This window comes from Homo sapiens, chromosome 4 (assembly GCF_000001405.40).
Source record: "Homo sapiens chromosome 4, GRCh38.p14 Primary Assembly".
Lineage (NCBI taxonomy): Eukaryota > Metazoa > Chordata > Mammalia > Primates > Hominidae > Homo > Homo sapiens.
In genome coordinates this window covers 110549703-110568523 of record NC_000004.12, presented here as the reverse complement: position 1 = coordinate 110568523, position 18821 = coordinate 110549703, and the positions used below count along the sequence as shown (strand labels likewise).

Sequence of the window (18821 nt, the reverse complement as noted above, 5' to 3'; positions counted from 1 at the left end):
TGTCACTATAGATTTGGCTATTCAGGACATTTCATATGAATAGAATCATATAATATGTGGCCTTTTGTGAATAGCTTCTTTCATTTAGCATATTTTCAAGGTTCACCCCTGTTAAAGTATGTGTCACTATGTTCTTCTTTATGGCTGAATAATATTCCATTTTGTGGCTGTACCCTCTTTGGTTTATCCATTCACCCATTGATGGACATTTCAATTATTTTCATTTCTGCTTTTTGGTTATTTGAATAATCCTTTTGTAAACATTTATGTATTTGTTTTTGTGTGGACATAGGCTTTGCTTTTCCTGGATACATTCTGAGGAGTGGAATTGCTATATCATTTGGTAACTCTACATTTAACATTTGAGGAACTAGGGAAATCAGTCTTGATGGTTTTATCAATGGTGCATTCGAATAGGTCTGTGTGTCCTAACAGAAAAGAAAAACACATTGCTCCAGCTCTTTTCCCTTTACCACAGGAAATAATCTGTTCCAAATGCTACATGTAATCATTTATCTAATACTCCCAAAATTATCAAGGCTGAAGTAGACTCTCTGAGAGTCAGTCCATTCCATCAGTCTGTGCCAAGCAAAAGACCCTGCTTGCAGTTTTTTATATGCTAAAGACAATGGGCAGGAAAGAAACACAGAGTTAAATGAAAATATAAACCAAAATAAAATCTGCAGTTCCATTTTTTATAATTCAGGTGCCAGTTCAGGAACTTCTCAAGGTATTCCAAGCAGAAATGGATTATTTCGGGAGATTAGGCAATTTCATGCCATTAAAAGGCCTTGAGGGATAGAAATTAGAGGGTACATGCCAGCCTTTTGGTTTAAAGGTGGCATATCTCCACCTTTCTGATCCAGACGTTAAAAACTGCTAAGATCACCCAGAAATGAGGACATTATGAGAATATATCTGAGCCTCCCTGCACCGCAGAGTTTTAGTAAATAGACAGGGACATAGAGTTCAGAGGCTGCCAATTCATGTCTACCCTCAACATTGTTTCCCCCTGCACTGTCATGGGAAGAAGAATAGCCTCTTCTCTCATTTCCTTCCGAATCTCATACGACTGCGCATCATCAGCGGAACTGAAATCATGTGGAAGCCTGGGGAGTGCAGTCTTTAGCATCCCAGCCCTGCAGTTAAGGAAGACAGGATATAGAAGGTGGGAGAATTGGTGGCCCAGTGCCAGCAGACAATATCTAGCAGATCTTTACATCTAAATTGCCATTTACAATCTAAATTGCCATTAACAAGTCATCGACATTTTATTTATGTACATGGCAAAGGTTAATATTTAAGGGCTCTCTAGTGGAATATCAGGCCAACATATTGTCAACTGCTGAAGTTAGTCATTCTTCTTTCTCCATTTGTCTCATCCTATCCCATTACTCTCTTAACTTAGTTTCTCTTTCCAATTGTTTTCTAAATCCACTCACTAATGTAGGACAACCAGTACCTAAAATAGGGTTTATTATATAACAGAAAATTTATAAATATTAGTTATTTGAATGAATGAGTACTTTATTCAGTTGTAATGACTAGTTTCATATGTCAACTTGACTGGGCCACAGAGTGCCCATATTAAACATTATATCTGGGTGTATCTGTAAGGAAGTTTCCCGATGAGATCAGCATTTGAGTCAGGGGACTCATGAAAGTAGATTGTACTCACCAATATAGGTGGGCACCATCCAACATCCAATCTTTTGGGGGCCAAAATAGAACAGAAGATGGAGGAAGGAGGAATTTGCCCATCCCTGCCCCTCTTTTTTTCTGTCTAACTGCTTGACTTCGGAGAGCTCATCTCATCTTTTCCTGCCTTTGTAAATGGGATTTACACCATCGGCTTCTCTGGTTCTGAGGCCTTCAGACTTAGGCTGAATTTCACCACTGGCTTTCTGGGATCTCCAGCTTGCAGATGGCAGACTGTGGGACTTCTCAGTCTCCATGATCACATGAACCAATTCCTCGTAATAAAATTCTTTTTTAAGTCTTATATATCTTCTTTCATATGTAAATAAAATAAATTTCCATTTACACATATAAATTATATATAGATATAGCTCCTATTGGTTCTATTTCTCTGGAAAACCCTGACTTAGGCTAGCATTCTCTCTAGTATTGCTCCTTTCCCCAGGCATTTTTGGTCTCTTGATTTCTGTAACCTTAGGTAGGACTACGTTAAGTCAGCAGCATTCTCTTACCATTTTGGGTGCTTAAATAATGCCTGCAGCTTCTATTCACAAGTTTAGGGTCAGGCGGTGATTCTTAATTGAAGCTATTTGGCCACCCAGAGGACATTTGGCAATGATGTGTAAAGACATTTTTGGTTGGAGGAAGTGTTACTGGCAACTAGAGAATAAAGATCAAGGATGGTGCTAAACATTTTACCGTGTGCAGAATAGCCCTAAAAAATTGTCAGGCCCGGCCGGGCACGGTGGCTCACGCCTGTAATCCCAGTACTTTGGGAGGCCAAGGCGGGTGGATCACGAGGTCAGGAGATCAAGACCATCCTGGCTAACACGGTAAAACTCCGTCTCTGCTAAAAGTACAAAAAAAATTAGCCGGGCTTGGTGGCGGGCGCCTGTAGTCCCAGCTACTCAGGAGGCTGAGGCAGGAGAATGGCGTGAACCCGGGAGGCGGAGCTTGCAGTGAGCGGAGATCGTGCCACTGCACTCCAGCCTGGGCTACAGAGCGAGACTCCGTCTAAAAAAAAAAAAAAATTGTCAGGCCCCAAAAGTGAATTGTGATGAGGTTGAGAAACTCTGGGTTAGAGTGCAGAAGAAGAAGAAAAAAGAACTTTAGGAGGCTGAAGCAGGAGGACTGCTTGAGGTCAGGAGTTTGAAACCAGCGTGGGCAACATAGTGAGATGCTGTCTCTACAAAAAATTAGCCTGGGGTGGTGGCACATGCCTGTGGTCTCAGCTACTTGGGAGGTTGAGGCAGGAGGGTCACTTAGGCCCAGGAGATCAAGACTGTGGTGAGCCATGATCTTTCCACTGCACTCCAGCCTGGGCGACAGAGCAAGATTCTATCAAAAAAAAAAAAAGAATTGAATGCAAAAGGAGGGAAGGAGTAAAGATGATATCTAGCAGGGGTCACCAAACTTTCTGTAATGGGCCAGATGGTGAATATTTTAGTCTTTGTGGGCCATAAAATCTATTGCAATTACTCAGCACTGCTGTTGTAGCAGGAAAAGCAGCCATAATCCATACATAAATGAATGTATGTGCTGTGTTCCAATAAAACTTTATTTAAGGATGCCGACATTTATTTAAATTTTATATAATTTTTACATCATGAACTATTATTCTCCTTTTGATTTTTTCAACCATCTAAAAATGTAAAACTATGTTTAGCTTTCAGGCCTTACAAAAACAGGCAGGCAAAAGGTCGCTAAACCCTGAAGTAGAGGAAGGAGGAGGAGAAAGAACAAGAAATAAATTACTATGGTAGAGGAGTATATTAGTTTGGTGTTTATATTAGGCTAGATTATGCTGCAGTAACAGACAACCTCAAAATCTCAGTGATTTACAATAACAAAGGGGTATTTCTCATTTACAGCACATGTGTACTCTGTGCTGGCTAAGTTCTATTCCATGTTGTTTTTATCCTGGAATTCAGGCTCATAGTGCGGCCTCTATCTGGAATACTGCTGCATCTAGGAGCAGAAGAAACACGGAGAACATGGCAAACCAAGTGCTGGCTCTGGACGTTTCTGCCTAAAATTGACATACATCATTTTCACTCTGTTTCACTGGCCAAAGCAAGTCACATACCATGCTAGACTACAATGGGGTAGGATATAGAATCCTCTTCCAGACCAGGGCAATTACTATTTATGAACAATAACACAGGCTAACACATAGCCTACCCTTAGTGCCTTCAGTTGCTTAGGTTTGGTTATTCCTGAACCAAAGTTTATTTTATTCTTCAAACTAGTGTCTTAAGTAGGGATGGGGAGATATAATAGTAACAATAATAAGAGCTAACACTTATTGAGTGATTGTTATTTCCTATACGTATGTCCTTTACATGCATTTTTGTATTTAATCCTCACAACTACCATTGAGGTAGCTACTATTTTGATCCTTACTTTATAGATGAAACAACAATGGAGAGGTTAAAAGCACTCAACTACCAAGTAGTTGATATTCCAACCCAGGTCACTCTGATTTCAAAAGCATATTTTTACTCTAATACAGATTAAAATGTAGATTAGAGTGATAAACTGCCTGGGTTCAAATACTGGCTGGTGCCAAATACAACTTTTGTAGCCTTGTGCAAGTTCTATAACTTCTCCATCTCAATTTATCCACTCTAAAATAAGAACAATAACAGTATCTACTTTAAGGGGGTTTTGTAAAAATTAATGTTATGTGGAGTGCTAGTGTTTATAAAAATGCTTGAAAAAAAAAGGAAAGTCTGATGATGATGATTACCTAACCGTGTTTTAGAAAGCACCACTGGTAATTTGAATCCCCTCTTTTCTACTTCCTTCTCATCCCCCAATTCCCTTTGAGAATTATTGTTCTAGATTTTTGCCCCTACTCTGTTGTTTCTACTTTTGGACTAACACTTCACCAACTTGGAGGGTAAGCTGTAGGAGTATCATTACCTTCAACCCAGGTATACATCTCACCCCTGTTTCCCAAACCTCCCTTGCCTGTCAGTTTTACGTCTATGTTTTATTATTTAAACTCCTAATTTATAATTATGTGGGTACATAGCAATGATCTGGAATACAGGAGTGGGCTGCCTAGAGGGGAGGCAGTAATACTGGCCTTGCTTTTTGCTACATGACCTTGCTTCCCATATTTTCCAGTTAATTCTTGAAATTAAATGGTTACTTTTTTTCAATTAAAATTAATTATTTAAATTTACTGTGGCTTAATTTTGGAAACATCATATTAAATTTTTTGTCCCCTGTGAATACTGTGCAAAACCAAGCAAGCAAAGTAATAAACTGTGCTTGGCATAGATCTATCTATTAGGCATCAGCCTTTTAAAAAACAGGTGTTGTTTGAGAAGGACCTGATGGTCTAGAAGACTTATTCTGACAAAGTACATACAACTCTTTCGCGTGTGGAGTGAAAAGAAGTAAACAATTTGTTCTCAGTTTTAATGCTTAAAATAGAATGAAATAGAACAACAAAAGGAAAAGGCATGAAATAGAATGTCTTGTAGGCAAGTTGAAATCTGTTTTATTTACCACCCCCTTAAACTAACATTTTTCTTTTAAAATGTATTAATTTCATAAAACAGAAGGATAAACCATCTCACCTCATAATATGTCCTACTTGAAACAATACATAGACTTCAAGTGCTGGTTCTGATTGTGGTCAGAATTTTAAGTTAATCTTATGAGGATAGTGGGGTTTTTCTGGTAAGTTATGATGTTAATATGTTTTTGCTTCTGAAATAATTTAAAATAATATTTAATATTTTTTGGTCTGGAAATTTCTTCTTCTATATCTGCCACCCACAACCCAGTCTACATTTGAATTTACTAGTTTGGCTGTACGGATTGAGAAGTGATAATTAAGAAACAGCAACAGGAAAGTTTATAAAGTTTCAGAGTACATGATTAGGGCACATTATTGTATAAATAAAGTTAAAGCTAAGGTTTTGTTTCCATATGCTTCAATTCTCATCAAGCCGATTCTAAATTACCTTACATTTTTGAAAGTTCCAAATAAATTTAGATTTTCTAGATATAGCAGATTGAAACATAGTAACTTACCATCTTTTCTGCCTATTGGACTTACATTATGGATCTAGGAGGTATCAAGTGCCATATTAAACATATTCTTGCCACCAGCTTCTATGAAATTGATGTCTTTAATCAAGTCATGCATTTAAATTTGATCAGTGCTATTCTGTATGGATTAGGATCTAAGGGTTTATACATAAAATTGATCTATAAGGAGATATATGCTCAGATATGCAGAGTCATGCTGGGGATGCCCACAGGTCTCCCCATTTTCACACTTAGATTGCTAGGTGAGGTCAAAGCTAAATTCTAATTCCATTTAGTTTTAAGAAATAATCTGCCTTCTCTCTTTCCTGAACAGTTTCCAATTATTTAGCTTTTTTCCTCTAAAATCCATGGAGCAGAGTTAAGCACTATGTTCCCTCTAATTTCATAGCATATTTGAAGGAGCTTTGTAAGGAATGGAGCAAGAGAAGAGAGTACCAAGCATGAAAAAGGCCAGATTCTTGAATCATATTTGCAATGTGTTAAATTATTTGGGGAACACTGCAGTTATTTTTATTCAAGAGTCAAGTGACACTGGAAAACAATACTTTTTCAAGATAATCATTTAGATTTATTTTTAAAAAAAGAGGAGAGTTCTCTTATTGATTTTATAAGAGCAAAGGCAACAGTCAGCCATTCTTTTGGCTAATTCATATGATCCTCAAGTAAAACTTAAGCCCAGGTTACTTTGGTAGGATTTAAAGTAGTAAGACATATGTGAATAAAATGATATTAGGTCTGTATAATTCTGAATAATAAAATAAAGATTAAGATGGTAATATTGGTCCCTCAAGTACTGGTATTTAAACTTTAAAAATCAATCAAGAGAGAAGATTAAGTGGTGTTTCTTTGGTACTGAAAATGTAAAGCTAAGACCAAATTGTTCTACTTCACAGATTTAAGATACAAAGAATGATATTTAAAGGTATTAAAATAACTATTTCATTATCTTCAGTTTGTAAAGAATATCTTATGAAGTACACTTAGAAGGAATCCCTGAGTATATTAAGTACTCTATTAGTATCTTTCTTCATAAACAAAGAGGAACAATTTAAAGGCTTTGCAAGACATATAAACACAGTGCTTAGTAAAAGCATTATCTGTTTATAAGGCTCTCTCCATCGTGCTTGTAAATTAGGCCACCAAATGCTTCAGAGGAGAAACAATAGATTCACAAAATTAAACTCTAACATTTGAATACATTAACCACTCTCAAGTAAATTAAAAAACCATTCTCTGATGGTGTTTCTATGTTGTTTTAGCCACTCTATATTGTTTTTCACTGTTTCCAGCACTTGTTCCCTAGGTTTTTCTCCTGCTCCAGCTTGTGGATATTTTGCAAAAAAGCTCTCCATCTAGAAAAGAGAGGGGAGTAATTAGGATTGTCATTTATAGCCAAATTAGTCTTCAAGAATTTCATTCACAAACTGGATTTGCTTTCTTCTTACCTAGAAATTCAGTATCACTGCACAACGTTGAGCTACACCTCTGGCGCATCATTCAGACTGAACCCATCTCTCAGATTAGCAATAGTTACCCATGGCTTTTGGATCCCCACAGCATGTCAAGCCAAAATAGGCTCTGACATTTTGGAGAAGGATGGCAGCATGTCAGTCGCTAGCATGCCCATTTCTGTTTCTGCTGCTTTCTCTATTTTCTCTGAATTCCCCAAGGTGTTCCCTGGAAAATCTCACCTATGGAGTGATGGTTTTCCTTAGCCTTTCACTCCAGGAGTCTGGAGTATTTTAATGTACTTTCAGTTCACTTATTAAGGACTCATAAAACAAATCTTTCTTAAAATTAGTGCTGTACTCCCTCTGACCTCCAAAGCCCTACCCCAAACTCAACCATACTAGGATTATTTGCTATAAAAATAAGAATAATTTGGCTTTTTAACATACAGAAAACTCTTAGCATTCAATATCTAACACACAGATATTGAAACTTCATACAATCTCTACCTGTTCAACATTAATAGACATTTCTCCTCCTTTGGACTTGAGATATTTGAAACCGGAAAGATTTGAGATTAGTTTTGAAATTGCAAAACTATGAATTCTGAATGGAATCAAATCTTGACCAACTTGTTCCAGAGTTACATTTACAGGAGAGGCGAGACTTTCTGCCCATGATTTCATGAGCTGAACTGTCTGGTGTGGCCTTCTCAGCCCCCCGCCACCTCAACTTTTGCAGCTTTTAAACTTTCTTAGAGGCTCTTTGAATTGTTTTATGTTTAGAAAAAAAATAGGTGTACATTTTATTAGATACAAGAATTATTTCTCAATTCACTGTGTATACTTATCAAGATAAATAAAGACATGTTTTACACCTTAAATATATACAATTTAAAAATACAAAACCAAAAAGAATTTTCTTTCTCATTGTCTTCTGTGATTTGAATTGAGAAAATATCATTTCTATTTGAAAAAATAGTTTCATTCTATCCCGTTACTGGGTATATACCCAAAGGATTATAAATCATTCTACTATAAAGACACATGCACATGTAGGTTTATTGCAGCACTGTTTACAATATCAAAGACTTGGAACCAACCTAAATGCCCATCAATGATGGACTGGATAAAGAAAATGTGGCACATATACACCATGGAATACTAGGCAGCCATAAAAAGAATAAGTTCATGTCCTTTGCAGGGACATGGATGAAGCTGGAAACCATCATTCTCAGCAAACTAATACAGGAACAGAAAACCAAACACCGCATGTTCTCTCTCATAAGTGGGAGCTGAACAATGAGAACACATGGACACAGGGAGGGGAACATCACACACCAGGGCCTGTCAGGGGGTGGGGAGAAAGGGGAGGGAGAGCATTAGGACAAATACCTAACACATGCGGGGCTTAAAACCTAGATGGCGGGTTGATAGGTGCAGCAAACCACCATGGCACGTGTATACCTACGTAACAAACCTGCACATTCTGCACATGTATTCCAGAACTTAAAGTAAAATTTTTTTTAAAAAAGTTTCATTCTGCTCCTTCTTGGACAAATGCAGAGGAATTTATCTTCATACCTGCCACAGTTGCAGTTCAGTGTTGAATGGCTCTGCTATTGTGACAATTCGGCCAAGGTTTCTGTTATTGAGTGTATATCTGGAGAGAAATTTAGAGTAAAAGGAAGTGTAAGTGCTCAGAATGTTACATATTTTCTCTAAATGCAGATGTTTCCTTTTTATTTCATAGTTTTTAAAAGTAACTTTCAAAGTAAGCAAAACACAGTAAGAAAACCCATTTTACTTAAAATCATTCTATTCAAGATAAATTCTTAGTACACTCTGCACTTCTTTTGGTAGACAAATTGACACGACCCTCTGAGATATGGAAGACTGCTTGTTGTAGTCCCCAAATCTGTTTTTTTTTTTTCTGCACACATGAGCGCCCTGCTAGAGACTGTTTCTCAGGCTCTCTCATAGCTAGATGTCCACAGGTAACCCAATTCTTACCAACAGAACATTAGCACAATGTTCAGCTGCAGCTTCCTTGCTTAAATAAAGGGAAATTGCTTGCCTAGACTTCCTGGTTTTTCTCTCCTCTTCCCCCAAGCTAGAACATGTACATACCAGTGATTCGTCTTCAGCCATGCAGACAGGATACTGGCCTGGCCTCACAGAGCAGAAGCACGCTAACAACTTGGACCACTCACTTCAGGAGTCTAACCATAGTGAGAACTAATTACCCACACATGCCCTTTCAGCGGCTGCCTTTCTGTGTTTCCGTTACGGCAGAACACCTCCAGCATCGTTATCCTAATACTCTATGCATCTTCCTACTGGTACAGAAATTTAAATATAGGCTATTTATTCTGCTTTCAAAAAGCTTTATTAGTTGCTGGCATGTGGGGGTTATGATCTATATCAGTCTGCCTAAGCAGAGAAACCTAAAGCTAAATTCCAAGACAGAATTTTAAAGATGATATTCTACCCCTGTTCTCTTTGCATTTTCTTTCATAAAAAGCAAGAACCAGAAGTTTCCTCATAGACCACAAATGGTTGTGATAGAGGTAAAAAAAATCTCATCACAACTAATCACAGTGCAAGAAACCCACAAAATTATATATAAACCTTAAACCCCTGGAATGTTGAGGAGGGATACAAGAAAATATGTACACAGCAATAGGATAAATTTTACATTTAAAAATTATTACAGGCTGGCTGCGGTGGCTCACGCCTGTAATCCCAGCACTTTGCGATCTCAAGGTGGACAGATGGCTTGAGGTCAGGAGCTCAAGACCACCCTGGGCAACATGGTGAAACCCCATATCTAACAAAAATACAAAAAGTAGCTGGGCACGTGGTGGTGTGCGCCCCACAAGTAGTCCCAGCTACTTTAGGGGCTGAGGCGGGAGGATCGCTTGAACTGGGGAGGTCGAGGCTGCAGTGAACCAAGATTGTGCCACTGCACTCCAGCCTGGGTGACAGAGTGAGACCTTGTCTCAAAAAAAAATTTATATATATATATATATATATATAATTTTTATAAATATTAAATGTTTCCATTCCTATATATATATGCAAAAGCAGAAATCATGAAGATAAAAGCTGATAGTTTGTTTTATGCAAATTAAAAACTTTTATACTGAGCTGGGAGGTGATGGTTTGCCCTTGTAATCCCTGTGACTTGGGAAGCTGAGATGAGAGGATCCACTGAGCCCAGGAGTTCAAGGCTAGTCTGGGTAACAAAAGAGTTTTATACAAAAAAAAAAAAAAATCCTACCATATACAAAATTAGAAGCCAAATACTAATCGAGAACAAATCGTTGTAATATATATGATAAAGAGCAAATATTTTTGCCATATAAAGAACCCTTACAAATTGGTAACAGGGAGAAATATGCCAGCATGAATTTAGCAAAGGAATGAAAATGTACCAATGGGAAAAGAATAAAATGTTCTAGTAATCAAGCATGATTTCAGTGTACCAGATCCAGTGCCCACTCTTATCACAGACGCCACTGAATTTAAAGCCAATATGTTTTTTCATCCCTAATGTCATCAGTCATTATCTAAAATGTGATTCTGAGGCATTAGTAATGCTGCCCCTAAAAGTGTGTACTTTCTGGCCTCTGACACATTTCCTAGATCTCCCCAGGCTCTTGAACCCTTTCACCTAGCCCTCTGGAACTGTCCCTTTACAGGGAACACTACTTCTCATTCTCACTTAAGAGAATGTTTATATTCCCACATCCTTTGTAGCATCAGGTCAGGAAATAGTCAGTGTGCTCATGCTCCCCATTGCTGCTTCCAGACCAGCATTCCTCCAGCCTCTTTAAAAACCTCTGTTCCCTTATGTTAGTCCCTCGCATTTAATGATACATTCTGGTACCTGACTCCTCCAAGCCATGCCATCATTCTAGGTAATTTCCAGATCCATACAGATGAATGATATAACATCTCTTCTCTTAGTTCCTTAACCTTATTTCCGATGATATTTTCTTCACTCGACTTCAGCCACCAAATTCCTAAGATACTTTGTGATCATCCGTAAGTCATCTGCCTCTAAAATTGCTAATTTATTCACCCTCTATGACATGTTATGTCTTTCAGTTTCCACTGTGACTGTTCTTTCACTTTACCTGGACTTCTGGCCCTTTGACTATTCCCACCCCTCTATCACTTAAACCATCAGATCTTCCTATTCTTGCATTTATTTCTTTATGTAGTTTAGATTCCATGGTCTACCATTTTGAATAACATTTTTGCCTAAGACCTGAACTTTTTTATACTTTAATAATTTACGTATAATAAAGTATACATGTATTTGTGTGACTCTTTACTTAAAATTTGTCTCTACTCAAAGCTTCATGACGACAGAGAACCAGGTCTGCTTCTCCTTACTACTGCATCCCCAATGCCAGTCATAATGCCTAGCACAGAGTAGGTGCTCCACAATATTTACTGGATGGAAGAAATGTAATTTAAAATGAGATATCAGTTTTCATATATTCAATTAACAAAGATACATAAAAATAACAACACTGAGCATTGAAAAAGGTTGGGAACATAGGCAGTTACTAGCAACAGTTTTTAGAATGGCAATTCTGCAACATTTATCAGAAACCCTAAAAATAAACACATCTTTTCACCCAGTAGCATTACTTCTACCACTACTTGTATTCTAAAGAAATTGTCAAGGACATTAAAAAAAACAACAAAGGATTCAGTGTACAAGACTGTTCATCAATACACTACGTATAGTTGTAGGGAAACAATTCTATTGTCCAACATATAGGGATTGGCTAAATAAACTAAGATGTATGTACACATTGAAACATTATTAAGCCATTCAAAATAATATTGAAGATGCACACTTAAAGACATGAAAAGACACCCACAATATAGGATGATGAGGAAAAAAAGCAAGTTATAAACCATATTTATAATATGTTTCCATTTCTGTAAATTAAGTAAACAGCCATGGAAAAACTCAAGGAGAAACAGTAATATGACAATAGGAGTTATTTCTTGGTGGTTGCATTACAGGTAATTTTTGTACTCTTATTTTTGTTTGTATGCATTTTGTGCAAAAAACACATACCAGTTTCACAATAAGAAAACAGGAATTTAAAAAAGCAAATCACACTGAGTTGCTTTGATGAGATTCTATAGATTCAAAGAAAGTCTGCTAATTGCAGCTAATAAAACAATGTTTTCAGTGACCTTCTATAATTTCTGTAATATTTATTTCTGTTTTGTCTAAAGGACATATTTAGAAACTAGCAATGAATATGCTGAGTGAAAACTGCAACTACTTGTTTAAATACCAGAAATGCCAGAACAAAATATGTACACCCCAGGAAACTAATATCATATAAAGTATAGAAAATAAGGGAAAATATACTGCATGCTTATCATATTGGTTATTTTTAAAAACTAAAATAAGGATTTAATTATATTTTAAATAATTTGAAAAAAATTTACAAATATTGTCTTCTTGGATTCAATATTTATACAAGTATTATTATGTTATCCAAAGAAATAATTTTAATACACACAAAACTTTTAAGTGCTTATTAAATTGTTTGGTTTATGAGGTAGTATTTGAAGGGTTTCAATCATGTCCTAATGACTTAGTTTTTCATCTACTGTCATAAACTAAAATCACACCACCTTATTATTGGGTCAACTCAACTTCACAGTTTCATCTAAGAGTTTATTGGAAGAAACAAAAGCAAAGAATAATTTCTGAAGTATCTTTGGGACTTTGTGGCTAAGTCTCAAACTGGCAAGGACATTAGCAGTGTGGCCATCAGTTGTCATAAAAATCACATGACAAAAGCTTTATTTAAATAGAAGATTATTTATTTCAGGATGACCATAAATTGTTCAGAAATGGAGATAGTAAAACTATTCATCCTGAAATTTGGAAAATGTTCAAGTGTTTGGGATTATTTGGATAAAGTTTGGCTCATTTTTGTTTAATTTTTATTATCCAATTTTCATAGGGAAGTTCTGTTTATTCAAGCCAAGTACAATTAATATTGGGTGTTTGTGTGTATTAGACATGTGGTTATTAGCAATTTTACATTTGGGGCCATTTGAAATAATGTCTCATGAGAATTAGATCATTAGATTATGAAGAAATGCTAAAGCCTTGGGCAAGAGTTTTGGAGTACTTCTGGAAATAGTTTATCTTCTTTTTTTATCTTGAAAAATAATCAATTTACCAGGCCTAATACATTTATTTTAAGGCCAGACACTTATGAATTTTATGACAAGGCAAAACCTATTTTTTTCTACTTCTTAATTTTCCTGAAGTGAAACAACTAATTTTTAAAAATGAAAAATGCATTATTTGAAATAAATCACAGCATAGCTACTCAAATAGGCCTTGAGAAATATTTATTCAATAAACAATAAGTTAATGGCCATTTTATGCAAAATAAACCATTATTTACTTGTCTTTTCATAGTAACTCAAAAGTAACTTTTATGCTTCATCTACATAGGTTTCCTGCACCATACACCACAGAAAAAGAGATAGTTGTATGGTCTTTTCAACTAAAACAAAATATGCAGTATTTATCACTAGCCATATATTTTTCAAAATGGAGGGTATTACCTTGCATGATATAAACTGTTACATCTAGATAATAACATATTCTTAATAGGTATATTCATTCATTCTAAATTAAGCATTTCATTTAAACAATCATAAAAGATGAACAATGCACATATGTGCGTGCACACACACACACACACTCACATGCACACCAACCAATCTTCATAGAGATGGGTGAACAGTGACACTCAATAGTTACAAGAATAGAAAAGGTAAAAATTTATCACAAGCAGGCAGAAGCAATGTAGTGTATTTTGGTTGGGAGCTAGAGGTAGAATCTGAATCTCAGCAGGAAAAGAAATGTAAATGGACATAATAGCACTCTGGTGAGCTGTGGGGTAGAAAAGAGAAAATAATTAAAAGTTATAATTAGAGTTGGTATTTCTCACAAGGCAGTCATTATCAATGAGACAGTGCCGCTGGATTGACAGGAGAGATTAAGAGGAGATAACACAGGCTATTTCCTAATGTAGGGATTACAGATGGTAAAGGTCTTTTCATCAATGTTTATATGTTTATTTGGGACATACGTTTATTCTATATTCTATTTTGTACTCTATCAAAGAACTGCCTTTTGGATGGAAATTGTGCATTATATTTAGAGTATCAGAACCAAGAGCAGCAATCTTTCTTCTGCACGGGCCTGAGGAAATACGAAGTTTGGAAAGGCATCTCTTTAACTGATTTTGCTCTTGTCCTTGCTATTTCCCATTTTAAAAGTTCTATTGCCTAGGAAATATAATTCCCTTTTAAGAAACATTCAAAATACTTGAAATTTCATTATCTGGTCAGGATAGGTAATAGTTATCACCCACATAAGCTCAGTATGATATAGAACTCTAATTTGAACCCAGGTCCAATAATTTTTACCTAGCTTTAATCAAACATTAATTGAGAACTAAATATGTGCCTGGCATTATGCTAGGTACTAGCACAACAGGCAGAATTGTATTAACTTGTTTTAACCAAACTAAAAATAATGCAATTTAGTCTTCCAGATCTCAGAATCCTATAGGTCAGTTGAAACAATAATTTCCAGAAAAAAATTGTTCTTAAAATTAACTAGTACATTGCTTCCCTGGAAGGATAATACCATGATCCTTTACCTCTAATAATGCCATTTTAGATATTGTATAGATGTCAGAGACAGTGGCCCAAAGAAAAATGAAGGAACCAGTAGATAGTATGAAACAAAGAAAACAGCAGACCATCATCAGATCATCCCACCTGTTGACTAGATAGTCCCAGTTGAGTTGTATCCAATTCCAGGCCATGTTCTTCCCATAGCTGTTATATGAGATATATCGAATGACTGTAAACACATCCTGAGTTTTAATAAGGTTCGTGTCCTTGAGCAAATCCAAATACCTAAGAGAAGCCAAACAGAAAAACAATTCAAAGTGAACTTTTAATGTTCACCCTTAGCTAAATTCCAATACAAAATAGTTTTCATGCCAGCAATTCAATTCTTGAGGTATCAACTGACAAAGTTAATTAAATATGACAAATGATGAAAGACAACTTAAAATTTTCTGATATGTTTAACTGTTTTAAAAGACCAACCTATGATTTTAAAGACTAGTGGAATGTAAACTATAAAACATTTAAAATTAAATTATTTTAGAAGCACCAAAAACAATTTTAAAACACATTGTTTTTAATTTAAAAATTAAAATGTTAATTTTAACCATTAATATTTTAAAACAGCATTTATTGAATAGAGTACTTCACACACTTTCCCATTATCCCACTGGATTTTTAAAAGAAGCCAGTAAATTAAGAGAATGTATCTATGCTCTTATATTCTATAGGAAAGCAGTTGTTTGCTCTTCCCTAGATTGTAAGAAATAATCCTATAATGTAACCTATATGGTTATATTAGTTGGCAATAATTAAGAATACAAATAAGTACAAGATAAATTAAATGACTAAATGGATAGGTTTAATTGTATGCCATGGCTATACCTAGAGTAGCGTTTCTAGCCCAAGATCTTACAAGTGTATATTGTATTGAAAAAGTGTTTCCAAAAAAGGTCAGCACACATTTTGTTCACTGTGACAAGGGAACCTCAAAAATAGATGTCTACTACTGATAGATTAGATGTATTTTCATGTTACTCAAGTCTTGCTGCCCCATGGCATCCTACCCATTGGCTTAATTCATTTATATCTTTAGGAAGATATTGAGATAATAACTACAACAAAGGGATCACTGTTCAACTTGAGTTGTGAGCCTTTGAGAGTCAGCCTTTGTCAAACAGAAAAGGTATTTCTAAATTATGTATGCTTTTATTAATATATCAAGACCCTTAGCATACTTGAAGTAGAAATTTACCCTAAATGAGACTGGAGAAAACTCAAGCTTAAATAAAGTCCATGCCACATGTGAAACTGGAAAACACAACCCCTTAAGAACAGGTCTATAGTTCAGCATGTACTTTTGTGCTATGCCAAAATGGCATGGGAGAGTGACAGTACATCGTAGGCAAGGTGAGGTGAATATATGACTGAGTTTAAGGTAATGATCCTGGTTCCTTCGACTTGTGGGTCCTGTTTATGGGAAGCTATCAGTTTCTTCAGCCTAGCAATAAGAGGCAGGGACACTGGAAGACCTGATGGGAAAACAAAAATACCATACATACAGCACAGGTACTTCATGAACAGAAGCAAGTGACTGGGACCACTGCTTTCATCTCTGGATGACAGATAGTGCACCAGAAGGTAAAATATGATCAATGAAAACTCAGCAGACTCTGTCCCAGACCAAAATAGGTAAACACCTTAAGGCCAAAGCAGCAAAAATCAGAGGTCTCTTTCTCCATCACCACAAGGGTGGCATGTCTCCCTGTGCAGAAGGACCATGAGGAAGGGAAGGAACTCTAGAAGACTGAACATTTACTCCAAGAGACTATTTCAATGAGAATTCTAGTTTAACAACTCATTTAAAAACTAGACTGGCAGACAAAGATAGTCAACATCAGTTGTTCTCCCTCTCACTGGCTCATCACTCAGCAGTGTGAGAACTCTTGGGAATAATCAGATAGAAAATCAAGGTCCTACATTTTCTTTGCACTTGCAGTTGTGTGGGTAAATCTACTTTTATGAAAATACAACATATCAATCACATGTTTCAAATAAGAAAGGGATTCCAAGGAAGCTCGTACTGCAGCCTGGACTTGCTGCAGAATCTTCTTTTACTCCAGTCATTATTTGAAACTGGAAGACTCTGTAAATGGTTAAAGTAACACACTCAAATGTGAGATATGTTGCTTCCAAAATTTAAAAAAAGTTTACTAAGTCCACTAAAATAATCTTTTTCTGTGGCATGTCAGTCAAGGTGCAACAAATTTCTTTTCCTTTGGAGGGAATGTTGTGATATGCTTTAAACTATTGAACTTCCAGAAATTGCACTAAAGTCGTGGGATCCTGAATTTATTTCATCCCCTAGTTCACAAGGTTCTTACTAAGGCATCTAAAGTTCTTGCTAATTTTCTTACCAGATACAATCAGCACAATGCCATCAAAGTAATGAATTAGTGATGTTTTGTGAAATGTGAAAATGATCAAGTTCTTTTTTTTTTTTTTTTTTTAAATAGATACGAGGTCTCACTATGTTGCCCAGGTTGGTCTTGAACTCCTGGGCTCAAGAAAACCTCCTGCCTCGGCCTCCCAAAGTGCTGGGATTATAGGCATGAGCCACTGTGCCCAGCCAAGATGATCGAGTTCTTGATGAACTGTCATGGCAGAGAGCAGGAGAATTAATATATAGCCCTGAGGAAAGAGGCTGAAGGTATATTATTGGCTCTACCTGGTAAAAGCAAACTGCTTCTGGTCGTCCTTTTAAATTGGTATTGCATTGTAATTTACTGTTTACATTCTGCCTCTCCCATGAAGCTGTAAGTATCTCAAGGATAGATGTCATTTTTATTCATGTTTTATTCATTTTTATTTCCACAATCTATATATCTATACATAGAAAGGACACCATAAGTGTTGGTTAAATAAATGAAGTAAATAACTCAGACACTATAACTAAGCAAAAAATGAATTAAGGAAGAAGCCTGTTGATTTCAAGTATAAATGCAGAGTGGGAAATGAGTCATAGATGAGCTTTGTGCCTTCTGAGTAAAGTGTAAATGCATTTGCGGCAGACACTCCTCTTTCTCTACTCACAGAGCCCAGTTTTGCTCTGATACCATTAGATATCCTTGATCTTAGGTAAAACAGACTTCTACCCCAGTCCCAGATAATTCTAATTGGCTCAAATCAGCCAAAGGAATTCAAGTTCACCCTAGTGAGCAAAGGATCAAGTAGCAGACCCAGAGTGTGACTCACAATGATGAAGGGTGACCCAGTTCTGGATTATGAGGAGAATTGGAGACAATTGTCCTGTTGGCATAAGAGACAGAGCCTTGTCAGGAAACTCTTTTGCTCCTGTCCTACCTCCATTACACATGTTTGTGTAAAAACAAAATGTTTCAAGCTCTGGAAGTCATGAGACATCCAACATGTCGATCATTGAAAATCAGAAAGAGAAGAGCCTGGGTCCTGGGTGAAAATGTTGAGCCGCTGCACACAACTGGAAGCTACCTACCTCCAGAATGTGTTCATATGAGATTACATTTCCTTATTGTTTAGGCCAGTCTTACATGGATATTTTGTTTCTTGCAGGGAAAATAACTTTTAATGGATTTTTTTGGAAACAAAACATCATACTTTAATCAGACTCTTAAAGAGACTGTGACACATAAACTATTAAATACTATTTATATATGTGAAATAAAAGCCCAACTTACCTTGACAAAAGAGTAACGTTCTTCACTGATGCTAATCCATACAGCAGTTTTTCTTTTTCTTGAGCTAATGAAGTTTTCTGGTATTGCTCAAGAGTGTAGTTCCATGAAATCTCATTGCCAGAGTTCTGCATCCCATACCGATACACCAGAAGCCTGAGATTTACGGGAAGGCTAGAAGAAGAAA

General features: G+C 36.3%; 1 protein-coding gene across 7 annotated transcripts in view; it reads right to left on the bottom strand.

The window, feature by feature from the left end:
* Window positions 1-3238: 3238 nt before the first annotated feature.
* ENPEP (glutamyl aminopeptidase) overlaps window positions 3239-18821 on the bottom strand; it is an 89131-nt gene continuing 73548 nt past the window's right edge. For 5 of the 7 annotated variants that reach the window (NR_166842.1, NR_166844.1, NM_001977.4 and 2 more), the window contains 4 exons: window positions 18638-18808; window positions 15069-15209; window positions 8799-8877; window positions 3239-7118 (listed from right to left, as the gene is read on the bottom strand). Coding sequence is in view for 5 of the 7 variants with exons in the window: in NM_001977.4 (NP_001968.3) it covers window positions 6966-7118; window positions 8799-8877; window positions 15069-15209; window positions 18638-18808 (544 nt within the window). In the remaining 2 variants the exon portion in view is untranslated. Of the gene's footprint in view, window positions 7119-8247; window positions 8562-8798; window positions 8878-13605; window positions 14173-15068; window positions 15210-18637; window positions 18809-18821 lie in introns of those variants that run through there. The other 2 variants (NM_001379611.1, NM_001379612.1) reach the window with 2 other exon arrangements.